Below are 19,404 nucleotides of genomic sequence, written 5' to 3'. Positions count from 1 at the left end.
AGTAGAGAGCAAGCGAGGCTAAATACTTGTTACAGGGAGGAGAGCATGTTTGTTGTGCATCCTATGATGTGTGAAGCCCTCCCTGAGTGTGTGTATGAATGATCTTGTTATATACTGACAGCAACTTTGCAAGCATTCCCATTTGCAGGATGAGTAAAGTGAAGCCCATAGAGATTAGAAGAATTCCCAGGGACTCTCAGCTGGTGAGATAATCAGTCCACTCATAGAAGGCTGAGAGCTGCCTAGGATGTACCATGGGAATTGTGCCAAAGCCTGTACTGACCAATGTCCATGCTTGTGATCAGAAGATGGTCAATTCAGGGATTGATTGTGGGCAAGGCAGACCTGTGCCCTGGTGTATTCTTTTCTCACAGTCAGCCAGTCTTCATCACAAACCTCATCTTCCTCCCCAACAGTCCTCCTACCATTGTGTTTTCTCACAAACACTGTGTTCCCCCTCCTTGGACTACAAGCCTTCTGCTCACCCTCCACCCACCCCACTGCCATTTGCAAACAGCTAAGTGGAACTCAGCTTGAGCTTGATGCTTGGTGATGATGAGTTTCCCAGCAGGGGAAGGGTTTGCTTTGCAGAAACAAAAGACCAAAGCAGTAACATTAAATCTTCCTTCTTGTCCACACTCAGAGCTGCTGAGGAGGCCCAGACAGACTCTCTGGGAAAGCAGCAATGGGGTAGAGCCAGAGCAAACAGAAACCCCAGGGGGTTAAATGCCATCAATAGCAATGCCCAAGCAGGGCTGATGGGATAATGGAAGGGGGTATGTGTGTGGCCATTAACAGGCAGATAAACTAACAGAACCACAGGGGGAAGAAGCCACAGTGAGACTGGGCTTGACTGGAAAACTGAGGAGCTGGATTCTATCCCTGGGTCCATCACCTAATCATAGAATGATTTGATGCTTCAGAATAAAGTCGAATAAAGACTTCCTTTATTGGGGTGGGGGGGTGGGATTAGATTATTTTTAACTCCAGCTAAACTGGAATTTAACTAGCCAATGAAACTCTAAGTTATTCCATGAAAGGGACTATATTTTAGCATAGTTCCTGCATTCAGAAGGGGCTCACTAATTTATTCATCCAACAACTGTGTAACCAGGTCTGATGTTAGGTCCCGGATATAAAATGGTAAATGGAACTGGTCTGAACCCTGCCCCTGGAGTTCCTATTCTAATGCAGAAGGAGACATTAGTAATCACACAAATATCTATATATCATGACAGCCACAATCTGTGCTATGAAGGAATGAGATAGCATCTATGGAGATTTAATTTGAACTGCAGTTTTGATGCAGCCCTCCCTGAGGAAGTGAGGCTGAGGCTGAGATATTCAGAACGAGCAGGAACCCTGTGAAAAGTGGGATAAAACTTCCAGGGGGTGGTATCAGAAGCGCCTGAGATGGGGAAGGGCTTGGCAAGAGTGAGGAATGGACACAAAGCCCACGTGGTGCACAAGGAAAGGCGAGGAGGCTGGGGAGGTAGGTGGGACAGAAGCGGCTGGGCCCGGATAGAGCAGTGAGGATCCTGGGCGATGGGTGGAGCTGTCCTAGGTGCTGATCAGGAGAGCCCACTAAGCCACCAGCCAGACCTTGGGAACTGTGCGAGGGAATCTCAGCCTGGCTGTGGCTTCGAATTAAGTGGGTAATGGGTCCCTCTCCCTCAACCCCACAAACACCACTCTCCCCTTGGCCTTTGTGCAACGTGATACTTCAGTGTCCCTGACAATTGTCATTATTCTGAATATTTTATAAACTCTCTTCATCATCTTCTGAGGGAGCAAGGGGCAGGAAAGATATTCCCTGCCCTAGGAAGTCAGAAAACTGAAGAACCTTGTGATTTTCTCATAAAGAAGGTAAGGCTCAAAACTCTCTAGTCAACCATCTTCTTCATCTTTTCACTCATTCATTTGAAGAATCCAGAATTGTAGGACACAGGGAGCCTCCTGACCAGGTTATGAGATAGGAACCTAAAGGCCCACAGGAAGGTAGCAGAAATGAGTGAAGTGGGTCAGGCGTAAGAAAACTGAGGGATACACAACAGGGAAAGGTGAGGTCTGGGGCACACTGGAGGGGCAACAGTTATGCAGCAACACATGACTGTTGCCATGGAGAGATGTGGGCCCAGTGCTGTCACGGCTTCTGATTTTTAAAGAGACACTGAACATTTGGATTTTTAGGTAAAATTTCCTGATGTATGTGTATCTTAAAACAATCGAATAATTAAAAAAAAACCCTCCTTATGGCTCACAGACTGTAATCCCAGCATTTTGGGAGGCCAAGGTAGGAAGATTGCTTGAACTCAGGGGTTCAAGACTAGCCTGGGGAACATGGTGAAACCCCATCTCTACAGAAAATACAAAAACTATCTGAGTGTTGTGGTGCATGGCTGTAGTCCCAGAAACTTGGGAGGCTGAGTTGGGAGGATCACTTGAGCTGGGGAGATTGAAGTGGCAGTGAGCCATGATCATACCACTGCACTCCAGTTTGAGCAAGACTCTGTCTCAAACAACAACAACAACACCCCAAACCCTCCTCTTGTGAGCCATACAAAGTGCATCTGTGGGGTCAATGGGCCCCTGATTTGCAACCTCTGTGGTCTATTGTCCTTATACTTTAGAGGGGTAACTGGGGTCTATAGAGAGGGTGAAACTTGCCCAAGGTGTCAGGGAACATACATTATTATGAAGTAAAATGTACATTCTCTAACTTATAGTTTCTATGATGTGTGAGGCCCAGTGGACACAAAAATGTTTTCAAAAGTTCCCAGCCCTGTGCAAGCACATGGTCTAATGGGCAAGCAGTCCCATCCTTTCCAGGACACAGTGCGATGGTTGTTAGAGATTGTACAAGGGACCTCTAAGGAAGCACAAGTGGCACCCCAGAAATTTCTGGCACTAAAATGCCAGTGGGGCGGAGCCATTCAAAGAATTTGATGGTTCCTTCTGGCCCCAGCAGGCAAAAGGCTTTCTGGTGCTCAGGGGCCCAGCCTCAGAGGGTAGTCCCTGTGCGGGTCCTGAGGCTGGAGACTACCACTTGCCGCTGAAGCCTGGGTTGCAGGAGGTTCAGGCAGGGGATCCGCACTGTGCCCAGTGGAGGGATGGCTGTACCAGCAATTTACAGCCTGCTCTCTGCTACCTAATTGCACCATCAGTGCTTGGTGTCGCAGGGCCAGTGTGAGGATAGATGGGCCGCTGTTATGGACCTAATGGCTGCAGTAAAGTGTGGTGTTTACAGTGTTAAATAGCCTGGCCCACCCCTGCGTGGGGGCCACCTTCCAGCTCCATGTTGGGGCCAGGAGCTCAGTGCATCTGGGGTAGGTTTTTGAGTGGCTTGAGAAGGGGCTCCCCATGAGCCCACTCTGTTCCTTACATCTCCTCCCCGGTCTAGGCAGTGGGGCTCCATGTTGGAAATACAGGCCTCCCTGATGTTGTATTGTTTTCTCCTCCTCTCTCTGGGTCTCTGAGCCAACTTTGAGAACAACCTCTCAAAGGGTAGGGGCTGTGCCTTTACTGAAGGACAAGGGGTCCCCTGAGACAAAAGCAATGTCTCCCCTACAAGACTGGGCAGTTCCCACTGGGCAGGGCTTTATATCTGTCATCCAGTTGGGTGTATTCCCAGAATAAAGTTATATCCCCCTCTTTGGACTTGGCTCTCTGAAGATGGGGCATACCCCTGCTCCAGCAGACTGTGTAATATGTGCTCTGTCTCCCTACCAGGGTCTCTGGACTGAGGACTCCATTCTTTGATTCTTTACCTTGTTAAGCCTCAGCTTCCTAACCTGTAAAATAATCTCTCAACATCCTTCTGCAGGTTTTCTTTCTCTTTTTGTTTTCGGTAAGGATTCAACCTTGTTCCTCAAAACATGGTCTGCAGATAGGCAGCCTCAATGTCATCTGAGAGCTTGTGAGAAATGCAGAATGTCAGGCCCCAACTAAGACCCACCAAATCAGGATCTGGTTTTAACAAAATCCCAGTGACTCTTATGCACTCTAAAGTTTGAGAGATGCCAATTCACAAAGCGCCCAAGAGAATGCTTAATGTAAGTGGGCCTCAGTATGTTTTGTTTCTCCTCCATCCTTATTTTTTTGTTTCCAGTGTCACTATAGAGGCAGTGCAGCTGCAATGAGTGGGTGGAGATGGAAAAACAATTCCAGGGAATGGTGTGAATTAGGTGCTCAATAAATGTTTGGGCAATGCATGAAGAGGTCATTGCATCTGAGCTCTTGAAGTCATCCACCCTGTTCACTAGACCTTGGCCTCTCTGTTTCTCTCCAGATTTTATTCCCCTTCTTCCAGCTTGAGGGAAGAAGGATTACAATCTAAGGATCAGCAAAGCTCCCATGCTACTATGCACAACAATGTGTGCTGAGGCCACATCACTTGGGGATCGAGCAGAGGAAGGGTAGTGGCCAGACACCATGCTGCCCTCAGAGAAGGGACTCCAAATCCCTGGACACAGTCTTAATCCACTGTGGGGAGAATCCTGGGCCAGGTACCCATCCCCATCCCTAGGGGGACTTGTTATGCAGCCCAAGGTAAGGGAGTCTCCCTCTCTGTGGAAAGGAAGACTAGTCCCTATAACATATGTAGGCTTAGAGGGGACCTAGAGATCCAGAGAGTTGGAGCAGATGTAAGCATGCCTCCTGACCTCACACTCAGTTCAAGACTCCCCTCCGCAAGGTCTCTAATGAGGGAGCAACAGTCCTCTCTCTTGCATTCCCAGTGCTGGGAATTTCCCCCTCACAGGCCAGCCTTTCCATGTGTGGACACCTCTCATGGTTAGCAGCGATCCTGATTACAGCCTCCCTATATTTCAAATAAATTAGACTCAACAAACAAAATCAATGCCTACTCTGTGCAGGGCAAGAGGCTAGGCTCTGGGAAGATAAGACATGATCCCTGCTTCAGGGAGTATTTGGGGAGGATAGGGACCTGTGCAGACTCCTGTAACATTAGGCAGAACATGATGATCAGTTTGATAGAGAGCTCAGCAGTCTGGGATCACAGAGGGAAGAGATCATAATTGTTGCGGGTGTGGAGGAAATCGGGGAAGCTGCATGGAGGAGGGAGTGTTTGAATTGGGCCTTGAAGACCGGGTAGAATTTCAGTGGATGTGTTGACTATTCTTCTTGGATGTCTCTCAAATCTACCCCTTCTCTTTATGCTCACAGACCCTGCCTTGTTTCCAGTGGCCTCTTAACACTTGCTTATCACTCTGTCTCTCTCATACCCCCACTCCCTGCCCCTATCCATCCTTTGCTCAGCTGCAAGCATTTGCTCACAGCTGTCAGTGGCCCTGCTGCATACTCCTTGGCACTCAGACCCTGAGGTTCCACATCTCAGCATTATTCCCCCAGTCTACACTCTCCTCCAAGCTCCCCATGCGTGTGTGTTCTTTATGACTATGAGCCATTGCACATGCTATTCCCTTTGCTTGAAACACCCTTCCTCCAGCCTTCTTATGCACCTGCTAATCTTCTATACGTATACTTCAGGACCCAACCTGTGCTGCAGGTGCCGTTTGCAGCCCTCCCTCTACCATAGCAGCCACTACACTATATTTTAGTTACTTTTTGGTGAGACTGTCTTCTCTTGTTGCATCAGGCAGAGGCTTATTAATCTCGTCTTATTCAGCGTTTTATTAGTAGTGCTAACATAGCTACTTAGTGCATGTTGAAGGAACAGATGTCCAAGATACTAAGCAGCATTCCAGGCAGAGAACACAGACTGGGCAAAGGCATGGAGGATGGATGGGATGCTGAGCTGCTCACTATGGCTGGAATGGAAGGTCAGGAATGAGGTAGGAACAGCTGGGAATCAGGGAACAAGCATGTAGGAACAGGCAGGAGCTATTAGGTCCTTCTGGGTCCTAATCCTACTTTTTGGGGGAGGGACTGTCAAGCCCTGGGTCCTAGGTTTGGATGGATGGAGAAGCTGGGCACCTGTCCAGGATTTCCCAGCCTCCTTGGCTTTGCCTTCCTCATTGAGATTCCTCCCCAGAGGCGAGGGGGAGGGGAGATGACTTAGGGACGGCAGCTCTCAGATGTGTCCTCATCCAGCACAGGGAGCCCGCCGGCCGCCCGTATATCAGGGCCAGTGTTGTCTTGTTGCTCGCTGGGAAGGGAAGTGGGGGAGATAATTGTGTCTCCTTGGGAAGAAATATGGGTGCAGGCAGAAGCATCTTTCTTTCAGCTTTGGGAGAAGAGATGTCTACTCAGCATCTTCCTCCGGAGTAGGGTGGGGTAGGGGAGAATGTTTAACCCTTTCCCCTTAAACACTGTCTGTAAAATCAATTCCCAGAGGTTAATAATGCATAATTATGCAAAAGGAATTTGGAATAATTCAAAGAGGTTGGCTGGGGAAAAGTTCTTGGGGCTAGGAAGGCACAGAGGAGGTGGGAGAACCATAGGAGTTCAAGGGGCCTGTAGGCAAGTTGGAACAAGTATCAGTTTAGAAAGTGGCTGTGGTGGCCGGATGCGGTGGCTCACGCCTGTAATCCCAGCACTTTGGGAGGCCAAGGCGGGTGGATCATGAGGTCAGGAGATAAAGACCATCCTGGCCAACATGGTGAAACCCCGCCTCTACTAAAAATACAAAAATTAGCTGGGTGTGGTGGTGCGTGCCTGTAATCCCAGCTACTCGGGAGGCTGAGGCAGAAGAATTGCTTGAACCAGGGAATTGGAGGTTACAGTGAGCCAAGATCGCACTACTGCACTCCAGCCTGGTGGCAGAGAGAGATTCCATTTAAAAAAAAAAAAAAAAGAAAAAGAAAGTGGCTGTGGTGTCCATTTTAGTCTTTTATGTCTATCCCAATGTCTATCTATCTATCTTTCTTTCTTTTTTTGTTCTTTTTCCTTTTTTTTTTTTTTTGAGACAGAGTTTCACTCTGTATCCCAGGCTGGAGTGCAGTGACACAGTCTCAGCTCACTGCAACCTCTGCCAACCCAGGCTCAAGCGATCCTCCCACCTCAGCCTCTTGAGTAGCTGGGACTACAGGTGGGCACCACCAGGCCTGGCTATTTTTTTTGTATTTTTGGTAGAGATGGGGTTTCACCATGTTGCCCAGGCTGGTCTTGAACTCCTGAGCTCGAGCAATCTGCCTGCCTTGTCCTCCCAGAGTGCTGGGATTCCAGGCATGAGCACTGTGCCTGGCCAATGTCTATCTTTCTAGATGCTCCTGTTTCACCCAGCCCAAGGCATCTCCATTCATCACCTTCCTGTTTCACTCATGGGGAAACTGAGCCCTGGTCCAAGGCCAGAGGCTGGCTCAGCAGGTACAGAAGGGGCTCTTGCTCCGGAGCAGAGAGCCATCCCTCTCCATCACTCAATTAACTTGATTTCAAAACGAGCTTAATCTCACCATCCTCCTTTCATGGCCCCAATCTGCAATTTCCACTAATTAATGATTGCAAATTGCTAAGTAACGAAACACTCGATGGTACTGCTATTATTAATGGCTGGGAGTGGACCTCGAGTAGGGGGAAGGGCCGTTAGCCTGGTGTGGAGGCCATCTGTGCTGGGGACAGGACCTGCAGCCCATGGGGAGGGCAGAGGAAGGGTAAGGGAACCTCAGGTCCTGTCTGCTCCTTACGAACTTGGCTGGTAGGATGACTTGCAGCTAACTGACATCCCCCTCGTGGTGGCTCTGGGATCTTGGGTGACAGGGTTGGGGACTGAGGGAGTTGGTGGTCAAAGCTATGCTAGAAATGGCAAATTGGGAGAAGGCATAGGGCCTAGAGAGCTGGAACTGTGAAGTGATCTCCAAGATAGCTGGTGGCAGGGGGCAGGGTTGGGGGAGAAGAGGGCTGGGCCACCAGAAGATGCTGAGAGCAGACTCTAGGTGCTCCAAGTTGGCTCAGCCATTGACAAAACATCCACAAGGCAGCTGGGTTCCCAGGAAGACTGCATTGCATGCTTAATGGAGACATGACATAGGGCCGGGGGAGATTCTGGGAATGGAATAGTTGATCGTGCCTGGGGGAAGCTTGGAAGTCTCATGGAGAAAGAACTACTTGAGTAGGACTTTCTGATGACAGGAAAGACCTAACTGCAAGTGGGCAAGGGAAGGACATTTCAGGAGGAGGGGCCAGCATGAGTGAAGCTAGGATATTTTGGGAACAGCTAGTGGTCTGATGTACCATGTGTGTGCACATGTGCCTGCATGCACATGTGGGATAACCGAGGAGGAAAGAGGCAGAGACGGTAAGGCTGGGGAAGTGGGCAATGTCAGCTTGGAGCTGCAGCCTCGGGGGTGTGAAGAGTATAATAGGCTCCAGAGTTGGAACCATATAGGTTTGAATCCCAGCTCTGCCACTTATGGACTATGCTCTGGGGCATGTTGCTTGACTTTTCTGAGCCTTGGTTTCCTCATCTGTAAAATGGGGATAACAGCAGTATCCACTTTATAATAAAGGTTTCTATGAGGTTCAAGTGAATTAATGCATATAAAGTGTTTAGAATAGTGCCTGGCATAGAGAAGGTGCTCTATGGATGTTAGTCATTATTATTATTATTAGAGGGAGGGGGTCTCACTCTGTTCACCAGGTTGGTGTGCAGTGGTGTGATCGTAGTTCACTGTAACCTTGAACTCCTGGGCTCAAGCTATCCTCAGGCCTCAGACTCCTGAATAGTTGGAATTAGCCAGGAATGTGCCACCATGCCTGGCTAATTAAAAAAAAAACGTTTTTGGAGAGACATCATCTCACTACATTGCCCAGGCTGGTCTCCAACTCATGTGCTCAAGTGATCCTCCTGCCTCAGCCTCATAAAGTACTGGGATTATAGGTGTGAGCCACTTGCTTGGTCAGCCATTATTATTACAATTATTCTATAAAAAACATAGCACCATTGCAATATTTTCCAAGAGAGCAAGACATGATCAAAGGAACTAGAGACGAAGTGCCCAGAAGGGCATTCAGAAATAGAAATGCGTGGGGTGCTTTGAGTTTTCACAGTGGCCGGGATTGGGGGGAACTCCTGGTATTAGGAGGGGACCAGGGATGCTAAATATCCTGCAATGTGCTGGACATCCCAGCTGATGAAGAACCATTTCCCCTAATATACTAGTGGTGACCAGTGAGAAACTCAGCTTGGATAGCTAGCTCTGGCTCAGGGAGTGATTAGTTTGAAGAGAATGAAGATCAACTTCAGCTCTTGGTCCATGTGACCATGTGCGGGACTGGCTGTTAGCAACACAAACTCATGTGTCACTTTTTCCTCCCCTCCCCTCCCCTCCCTCCCTCCCTCCCTTCCTCCCTTCCTTCCTTCCTTCGCGCCAGATACTGTTAGATTCTGGGAATAAAATGGTGGTTGGTGACTCTAGCATCTCGTGGAGCTTAGAGTCTAGAGAGAGAGACAACCAGATAAGCAGGCATTGTCATACTGGCCTATGATGGGGAGGTATGCAGTGCTGTGGGAATGTTTGGAAGGGCATGTAACCCAATTCTCGGTTCTGTGTTCAGACCTTTAGACTGTAAAAACAGAGACGTTCACTCAAGTTCCTCAACAAATGGACCTTACTGTAAGGCTCCAACAGCAGGATAAGTGGGAATCCCATGGGAAGTACAGGATTCAGGCATCGGTCATGGGATCCAGGAAAAAAAGTCAGGATCCAAGGTGACTATTGGCTTTGGTGTTTCCTTGTTCCCCCAGCAGCACTGAGCCTTGCTGTGTGTCTCTCTGCTGAGTGAGACATCATGAATATGGCTCAGCTGTGCCCTGCATGGTGGTGGCTCCTTTCTGGGTCTGTCTGTTTCTCCTGCTATCAGCAGCTTTCTCTTCTTCTCAATGTTCTTGTCGTTTCTATTTACCTTTAACTTCTAGTCACTCCTGGTCCCTTGTGGCCCCTGGCAGCCTCATGGCCTTGGCTTGCACTTCTTTACCTCCTTGGTGTATTTTCCAGTTAAAATTCTGCAAAGAAAGAATCTGACTAGCTTAGCCCAGCCCTGTTAGGACTTTCCCAGCTTGCCCACCTCCAAGGAGCCTGCACCTGGTTCAGTCAGCTGTGACCTGGTCATGTGGTGCAGGTCTCCTAGTGCAATGGCCAGCAAGCATGGTGGTCCCTTCATTGGCTTGTCTATGATGTTGGGCCTTGTGTTGCAGGTACACACACCCTTCTTTCTAAACAGTCAGCCCCAAAGCTGGCCCAGCCTAACAGGGTACAACAACCACATTCACAATGGTGGGTGCCTTCCTCTTTTTCCAAGAATGACGATGACCTAAGTTTAACTATAACCAGAGGTGAGTTCAGATGGCCACTTTAAGAGCTCCCCCTCCCTCCAGAAGCTTCTTTCCCCTATAACTTGTCTAATTTCTGCTGTTACCAATGGTGAAACTCTTGATGGTTATTCTGGCCATAGTTAGCCTTGATTCGACTGGCACAAAGGCCTAAAGAAGTGGGCCATATCACGATTTTCCCGGAATCCTGCCTACCCTTGGTAGGGTTATTTCTTTTCGTAGAATGTGGTACGGTGAGAAACGCAGTGGCAAGTTTGAATCCAGGCTCTGTCATTTACCAGTGTGACCTTGATTATCTTCTTGAGCCTCAGTTTTTCCATCTGTAAAGTGGGGATCACAGTATGGACATCACAAGGTATGACTGAGTGAGTGGCTCACAGCATTGCTCAATAAAGAACTGTTCCCTCCTCTGCTTAAGGACATTGGCTGTCATGAGTTTGATGTGGTGGTAGTGGTGGAATGACTAAAAGACCTTGGATGATAGGGTTGCACCAGGTTCACAGCCATGAATTTTGGTATGATTCCATTGGAAGGAAGGAATTGAGGGGGCTACAAGGAGATGGTCTGTCCCTCTCTCAGGATTTCTCCAATGCATTCCCCTTGTTCTTTACTCAGCTTAACCAGCGCCTGTCGCCTGTCTTCCAATTCTCCTGCAAATACAGCACCTCTGCTCGGCTTTGTAGGCTACATATCTCTGCTTATATGTAGCTATATGTATATGTAGGCTCCCTCTGCTCAGAAGGATTTTCATAATTCCTCCTGGGCCTGGAACCAACTATGCATCTAATTTCTCTCAATTGCACTTCGATGAAGCTTGATATTCACCATCTCCTCCCCAGTTTCTCTGTCTCACCTTCTCTTCATTTCTCCACTTTTCTCTTACTTTTGGTTCCATTTCTTTGGTTGCATCTCCATGGCCAAGATGCTTCAGTGGAACCTATTTTTACTCCTGCTAAAGTCTCAAGGAGATGGCTAGACATCTAGAATAACTTCCTAACACCACTTATGACCAAAGCATTTTGTTGACATCTTTCTGAAAAGATGGTTCGAGGGAGACAGATGCTGATCTCTCTGCAGGTCTCCAGGGAAGTTGTGGAGTATGGGAGGGAGATGGGTGGGATTTAGGACTCTGCTGGGTGGATTTGAATGCAATATTGTTCTCCGATTGCTAATTCTCCATCACTGTTGGATAACTTTAAAATCTTTAATGATTTTTGACACTAAATAACGTTCAGTGGAAAAAAAATTGTCCAATTGAACAATAAGCCATTTTCATCTCTCCTCATCTCTTCCAGCCTTTGTTAACACACTTACTTGTTTTGCTTCGTTATAACCAACGTGTGAAGACATTTTCTGCTTTTCCCACTTAACGGTATCTTACATGAATGTTTCTAGTGTACTCACTTAGTCTACAGAGCTGTCATTTTTAATAACTACAGCACATTAATATAACCACTGTTTGCTTACTGCTATTGTTGGGCATTTGGGTGGTGGCCAAATTTCCAATTTTGCAAACAGTGCTGCCACGCACATCTTTGTCAAATTACTTTTTTTTTTTCTTTTTCTTTGGATTATTCCCAAGGGTTTATTCCCAAAAGGAGAATTAACAGGTCAAAGGGTATAAACAGTTTTGTAGCTCATATTCCACATTGCCAGATTGCTTTTTGCAAGGAGAGACTCAAGTTGTAGCACTACCAGCAGCGTGCACACGGATGGAACTGAGCGGTGGGAATGAGTGTTTCTGTTTCTTGGGACTAGGATCAGCCACCAGTTTGCTGTGTGACCTTGGGCCAGTCACTTCCCCCCTCTCGACGTAGGTTTTCTTGTCTGTAAAGTAAGGGAGTTGGGCGAGATGCTCTTAAAAGGTCTCTGCTGATCTGATCTGGGATGGGATCCCTCGATAGTGAGCTTGTTTGATTGGGGGACACTGGGGTTTCAGACTCATTGAGTTTTGAGTCCCTTTCCTCATCAGTGGAGACAACGTCAGGATGGTTTGCTGTTTGTATTTTAGATGGGTTGCGCTGTATGTTTGGGGTTTGGGGTTGTGGGGAGGCAGCGTCTGGCGATCCCATGTGGGAGTTGCCTGGGGCCTCTCAGTTCAGCTGTACATATTGTTTACATGTGGCATCCATTTTGCTTGGTTGACATCCATGCTGGTTGTTAAGTGATTGGAATCTCATTCCTGGGCATGCAGGAAATATGTGGGAGTTGAACAGAACTGGGTTTGAGTCCAACCTTGCTATTTGTTGGCTTTGTTGGATGCGAGAAGATGATTTAATATATCCTGGAACCTCAGTTTTCTCATCTGTAAAATGGGAATAAAACACTCACTTTATAAGGTTATTCCAGAGGTGTAAATGAGATAATGCATGTAAAACATGATGGCAGTGCCTGGCCCTCCAGAATACTCAATATTAGTAACATTTTCCAAGAACTTTGTGTTCTCCCAGTCTGGTGTGATGCTTCTCAAATGGAATGTTCACAACACAAGTTATTGCTGTTTCCTCTCCTCTGAGGAGGATAAATGGGGCAGGGTTCTCCAAGGTGTCCAGGAAAGGCCTTATCTTCCTTGGGAGTAGCCCTACCCTGATGTCTTCTGGATTCTGTCTATCTGCTCACTCTTCTCTTGACCTCCCTTCCCTCTATACTCACTGGCCTGTTGGCAGAACCTCTTGGCTCTGGGGCAGTTGGAGTAGTCTGAGACTAGCAGGGCCCATCCCTAGCATGAAGGCAGCCTGTTGGATTCTCTCCCACCTCTGGCTCTGATTCCAGTCTTTGATCAGTGTTCCATTCATGCTTCCACCTTGTCCTGGAGCCTTTCCTGCAAATACGCGCTTTTAGAATTGGGATCCCTGGACACTTTCTCCAGCTCCTGCAGAGCCCTGATCCCTTCCTCAGAGCCAAGCCCCTGCCAGCGGTGCCTGTCCCTCCCTCCTGCCTTGGCTGCAGGCCTGCAGCCAGGCTCTCCTGGGTCCAGCTGCTTGGGCTTTCCCTTCATCCATCGCTCTCTGTGGATTTCCCCAGAGTGCCTGCCCTTCCAGGACCTCTCGCCCACCCTCCCTTGCCATGGGATCATCTGCCTGGGGAGAGAAACCAGTGGAAGAGCCTCCCAGAGGCAGCCTGCCCATGGGGAGATCAAGCCAGGGCTCCAGGCCCAGAAGCTTCTAGGCCAGCAGGTTTCAAAAGGGTGGTAGCCTTCCTCTGGACAGTCAACCATGGAAGGTGTTGCAGGAGGTGAATGTGGTGGGGTGGGGACTTCTGGGGCTGGGCCTCACAGGCCTCTTTGGGGAGTAGCCAACAATATGGGCAGTGCCCTCCCATGCTGTTCTAATGTCAAGGAGGAGGAAGATTTGCCACCAATGCCAGGATTGATGCTAAGTCCGTGGATGGAACCAAAGGAACACAGGAGGCATGGTGCTCAGGGCTTTCAATCCAAGAGACTCAAGTGCTCGCCCTCTTCCCCACGTGCTCGCTGTCAGACCTTCTTTTACTGTCTGCTTTTCTCATGGAGCAAACTTTTCACCAGTGCTTCCCTGTGCTAGGGATGGGAGGATTCATAGGAGGCATTGTCCTGTTGCTGCCTCCAGGGAGTTTTCATTCAACCAGGAATTGGAAAACTCCAGCCTGTGGGCAAGTCCAGCCCACCACCTATTTTGTCCATAAAGTTTTATTGGAACACAGCCCATTTGTTGCTATATGGCCGATGCAATATTCCCTCTACAGCGGCAGAGGTAAGTAGTTGGTATAGAAATTGTAAGGCCTGCCAAGTGTGAAATATTTTCTGTCTGGTTCTTTAGAGTCTAGATGGAGCAATTGGAGCCCAGCTCCTGCTCAGGGACTTGCTGTAGGTTGGCTGTGAAGAGAGTGGTCTCAGAGCCACATGTTCCCAGAACGGCCAGGCTGAGACAGCTGCCCAAGCACAGATGCCCAAACCCTTCTGTTGCCTGCCAGGCTTCCCAGTGAGGTATGCAGACCCCAGAATAGAAGGTTGTAGCCCAGGCCAGGATGGTGGTCCCCCAGGAGGATTTTCTGACTCTCTTTTGGGGCCGAGGGCCGGGGTCCTTCCCCACTTCTTTGAACACTTCCTCCTCCATAAGTGGCCAGAACTTTGGGGAAGAATCCGCCCTAGTCCAGCCCTGTCCTTTCCACTTTCCTTGTCAGATTGACAGTAGACGTGGGCAACGTGGAAGGGAGTCCAAGCTGCCAAACCACCAGATCTTTGTGTCCTTTTTGGTCTCACTTTATCCACCCATAACATGAGGACAAGAAGATTCCTGGGTCCTTGGCTCTCCCAGAAAAAAGTGGAGGCCTTCATTCTGCAGTCAGTTTGGCTGTTATTGCAGTTCATTTGTGGGGGAGGAGGGGAGACAGACCTCTTCAACAGAGAACCGTGGTTTTCCCTAATGAGCCCAAGGCAGTTGACTCCCATTCCTGAAAAATGTCTTCCCAAGTCCTAGAAGCAATGCAATTAACAGCCTCTTTGTTCACAGTGTTAATTAACTTGTTTTTTTCTGAACACACCTTCTTCCAGGTACAGCCCGTCATCTCTGGGGTGCTGGCAGGGGGAAGGCAATTAGATCCTCGTTACTGTGCAATTAATTATGGCTTGAAAACTACTTGGGGAGGCTGGGAGAAATTCCTCGACAGCACCAGCCCCAGAAAGAGGCCTGGCTTAGGTGCAGGTGGTGAGCTGATTGGGAGATTAGAGAAAAGGCAGTGGAGCCTGATTCAGGAAACTGCAGAAAGGCAGATCTGGACACCTCACTACCCTCCTCAAGGACTTCCAGTGGCTTCCTAGTCCCTACCAAGTCAAGACCAAACTCCTTACATGAACATTCAAGGTCATCCATCTATTATCTGGTCTACACCCATCTTCCCAGGGTTATCTCCCATCACAGCTACACGGAGTCTATGCTCCCAGAAAAGCTAGAGGTCATGCTACTTGAACACAATTTCCATGCCTTTGTTCACACTATTTCCTCAGCTGGGATGCTGTTCTCCTTCCATCTCTACCTACTGGAAAGGTCTTTGTCCTTTATCTTGTTGCAAATACCCTCTCCTCGCTGGAACCTTTCCTGAGGGCAAGTGCGGTCTTAGAAAGATGAAGGGGATTGGATCCAGATAAACTTGGACTCAAGTTACTTAACCTGCCAGATCCTCATTCCCCTGCATTCCCTACCTGGCAAAGAGTATGTCAAGGCCCGCCTCACAGATAACGTGTGCCAAGTACCTGGCTTGGGTGCTTGGACCTTTACACCCCCTCAATTCTTGAGCCATAGCCTCCAGCATCGTTCTCAGCAGTAATGACCTCATCGCACCTGGGTAATGGGCTCTTCTGCTTGCAAACCAGTTTCCATCCTTTATCCCCCGTGTCCTTGGTCTCTGCCTGCTGAGGGAGGTATGAGGACCCTGGACATGAGACTCAGAGAGGGTCTGAGGCTTTAGATCTGATCTCAGTGAGGGTCGTACCATCCCCAGAGGGCATTTTGGGCCATCATCATGATTTGGGGGTGTCCCTGGCTTTTAGTGGGCGGGACAAAAAATGTTACCTGTCCAGCCAGGTGTCACATATGTGAAACACCAGTGAATGTTTGTCCGAGGTGAGAACCTCAGGCTGTATAGATGCTAAGCTGAGGCTGTGCTATTTAGGTTTCACTATTTTTTGTTGTTGTTGTTTTTTGTTTTTTTTTTTGTTTTTTTTTGTTTTTGAGACGGAGTCTTGCTCTGTCGCCCAGGCTGGAGTGCAGTGGCACAATCTTGGCTCACTGCAACCTCCGCCTCCTGGGTTCATGCCATTCTCCTTCCTCAGCCTCCCGAGTAGCTGGGAATACAGGCGCCCGCCACCACGCCCAGCTAATTTTTTTGTATTTTTAGTAGATACAGGGTTTCACTATGTTAGCCAGGATGGTCTCAATCTCCTGACCTCATGATCCGCCTGCCTCGGCCTCCCAAAATGCTGGGATTACAGGCATGAGCCACCGCGCCTGGAGGTTTCACTATTTTTTGGCATGATTTAATATATATAAAATTTTCCAGGAATGCAACCACCAGTAAATTGAGGGAAGACTGGACTTGGTTTTGATAAGCATTTTACTAAGAATTGCTTACCAGTTGGAAAACCACTACATGGATGGCAATCCTGCTCATGGTGCCTCAGTCCCTAAAAGAACCACCTGATCGATCATCATCTGTGGGTGTTCAGGTGCCCCAACATTTAGGTGCAAGCTTCTCACTCTTTCCTGTGTCTTCTTGGGTGGTGGTGCTCAAGCATTCACATACAGAAATACATAGTGTTTTATCATAACTTTTCACCCCTGTTTATTTCTCCTTGATATTATAACTGGGCAAAATTATGTATGCAGGTACATAATGTATGGAGGTAGGTTATATACTGTATAAATTTCATTACAAAATGTTTGTTATAAAAGGGAGTGGTAATAACCCCAGGCTGGAAAAATTCCTGGCTGGGCCTCATCCTGGCTTGGTCAGGGGCAGAGACCAGGTGGTGGTTCTGGGGGCTGCCGGGGGCAGTGCTGCTGCTTCAGGTCCCCCCACCCCTACTGCTGTTAGTGTGTGTGTGCGTGTGTGTGCGAGAGTCAGGCTGATGGTCTCCTGAGTGGTAGGCATGTGTCTGTGCATGACATGAGTGTGCAGAGCCATGCGTGCTGCTGTGTCTGTGCTTATGAAGACATTCACCTCCAGTGGTGCATCCACATCTGGGCATGCCCTGGGGGCTGGGTTGTCAGCAGCTGCTAGGCACTCCCTCTTGTAGCCTTCAGTCTCTCGAGTGAGAAGGAAATATTGTTCAACTTTAGGGGAGCCTGCCTTCCAGCCTCTCTGGTCTCTGCCTGAGATGAGACAGCCATTCCAGCTAGGGGGGTACCTTCTGCCCTGCCCGGCTCCTGCCAGCCCCACCCGCCTCCCAGGATAAACCCATTAACCAGATAAGGGATCATCAGGGCTCCCAGTCTGAGCTGAAGCTAAATCAGCAGAAGCTGTCCCATCCCCACCACATCTGGACGTTAGGCCTCATTTTCCCCAACTGGACAACCCAGATGTTTCTCTTGCACTCACATTTATCTAATCTAAGATTTTCTCTTGAATCTCATATCTTTTCCCTACGTCCTTTACCCCTTTCCAGGGCTCCCAGGCCAGGCACCCTGCAGCATCTGGAATGGATTAGAGAGTTAATAAAAGGCTTCCTGAAGCATGCTGCTTCTTCCCCACCCCAGGCCAGCCTCTACCCTGCCAGTCCTCCTCCGGGGCTGTTTGTGTTTGCAGTGGAAAGTGGCTCCTAATAGGAAGCTAATGTCCCAGAACGCAGTGCCTGCCTTCAGGAGCGTGGGCCCCTCGTTACCCCGCAGCTAATTAGCTGGTGGCTGTGGCAGCAGCCGTGTGGCTCGAAGGTGATGGCTGTGGGGGATGTGGGAGGGGCTGGCAGCCTCACTGCTTACCAGCTTTCAATCTCCAAGCAGTGAGGCACCTGTTAGCTTGGGAGAGCAGGGGGCCGGATGTGCTGCACAGTGCTGGGAATGTATGCGTGTGTGCATGTCTGTATTTAGGGATGGCATGTGGGATGAGAGGGAATGACTCAGTCGCCTACGGCTGATGACTGATCTTGAACTCCTTCTCAGTCCTGACCTGGACTGGGTCTGGGCCTTGCTCTATGGCCTATCATTCTGGGGGTGGGAACCAGCTGCTGCAGGGGTCCCTGAGGGGCTCCTCCTCCTGTGTCCAGGGCTCTGGGCCTGGGTCTAGCTGAGGCAGGTCCTCCAGTTGGTAACACGAAAGCCTTGTCCTAATGAGCTTGTCTTCCCATCCAGGCCCTTCCTCTCTGAATAGCCCTGCTCTGTGGCTTGTGGGCTGTTGGAGCCTGGGCTGGCAGTTGGGGTGATAAAGGGATTTGAGGTGACTGAGTCAGTGACTGGCTTACTAGAAGCCAGTGCTGCAGGCTGCTTGAAGCTGACACCCAGACCCTTGTTCAAAAACCATCTACACATGTTTCAATCTGAAACAGCCTCTCCCTGCTCACCTCACCCAGGCAGTAAGCGAGAATTCCAGGGGACGGCCTCTCTTTTGGCCCCAAGCCCAGAGGCTTAGGAGATCCTTACATCTAATTGTTGGACCCAACATGTAAAATGACACATTCTTCTACTAAAAAAATTATTAGCTGTTTATCTGAAATTCTAATTTAGCCAGACATCTTGTGTTTTATTTCTCTGTGTCTGGAAAACCTGGAAGGCAACATGGTCCTTTGAAAATGGGCTTGCCAGGGTGATGGCTTGCCCTGGATGTGGACCGGTGCACCCCTGAACTTGCTTATGCATGAAACAGGGATTCCAATGACAAGGTGGGAGGGTGAGAAAGCCCATGGATTTTAAGGTTTGGGTTGGACAGCCTCCCACCCTCCTCTTCTGATCCTGGTGTCCTCTGAGGTCACACAAGGTCCTGCTTCCCAAGCCCGACCAGTCTCTTTTTCTGGAAGGAGCAGTTCCCCAGGCCTGGGCTCAGGCATCTGTGTGACTGACAAGCTGTGAGGTGACTCCAAGGCCCATCTGGGATGGGGAGGGGCAGTTCCAGTCTAGCCTCCTTGCTGCACAGATGAGGACACGGAGGTGAAGCCACAGTGTGAGTTCTCAAATCCAGCTCCCCTGCTTCCAAGTGCTGGACCTTGTTTCTGCCCGCATTCATCCTACAGCAGGGCAAGCCACAGAGAGAGGTGCTGTGCAGAACAGGGCATGAGAGGGCCTGGTTACTTCAATGGGGCTTCTTCATGCCCTCCTGGGTCCTCTGCTGGCTTAGGTACAGGCACTGAGCTGAGAACAGTTTGGGAGATCAGAGAAAAGGCAATGGAGCCTGATTCAGGAGATTGCAGAAAGGCAAATCTGGGCACCTCACTACCCTGCTCAAGAACTTTCGGCGGCTCCCTAGTCCCTACCAAGTCAAGACCAAACTCCTTACTTGAACATTCAAGACCATCTATTATCTGGTCTAGACCCATCTTCCCAGAGTTATCTCCCATCACAGATACAGAGAGTCTGTGCTGGTCTCTGGGATACACACAGGCCCAATGCTGCCTTGTGGGATTCTTGGGCACATGGAGGAGACAGATCTTAGCAAGGTGACAGCACTGTGGGCTGTGTGCTGGGATAAGA

General features: G+C 49.1%; 1 long non-coding RNA gene across 5 annotated transcripts in view, besides 2 other annotated features; it reads left to right on the top strand.

The window, feature by feature from the left end:
* The window catches only part of LOC105371742 (uncharacterized), a 163,994-nt gene that overhangs the window by 123,950 nt on the left and 20,640 nt on the right, over window positions 1-19,404 (top strand). The gene's annotated exons all lie outside the window — the stretch shown is intronic.
* Window positions 242-941: an enhancer, noted in NCBI's record as "OCT4-NANOG hESC enhancer chr17:33125526-33126225 (GRCh37/hg19 assembly coordinates)". NCBI's record gives its function as "activates a minimal SCP1, AML or CMV promoter by ChIP-STARR-seq in naive and primed H9 embryonic stem cells {active_cell/tissue: H9 hESC(naive and primed)}" and the evidence as "EXISTENCE:reporter gene assay evidence [ECO:0000049][PMID:30033119]".
* Window positions 1,451-1,651: a silencer, noted in NCBI's record as "peak2814 fragment used in MPRA reporter construct". NCBI's record gives its function as "represses an SCP1 promoter by STARR-seq MPRAs in K562 erythroleukemia cells {active_cell/tissue: K562}" and the evidence as "EXISTENCE:reporter gene assay evidence [ECO:0000049][PMID:32103011]".

Source organism: Homo sapiens, chromosome 17 (assembly GCF_000001405.40).
Source record: "Homo sapiens chromosome 17, GRCh38.p14 Primary Assembly".
Taxonomy (NCBI): Eukaryota; Metazoa; Chordata; class Mammalia; order Primates; family Hominidae; genus Homo; species Homo sapiens.
The sequence above is the reverse complement of the archived record's forward strand: the minus strand, read 5'-3'. Positions and strand labels throughout refer to the sequence as shown.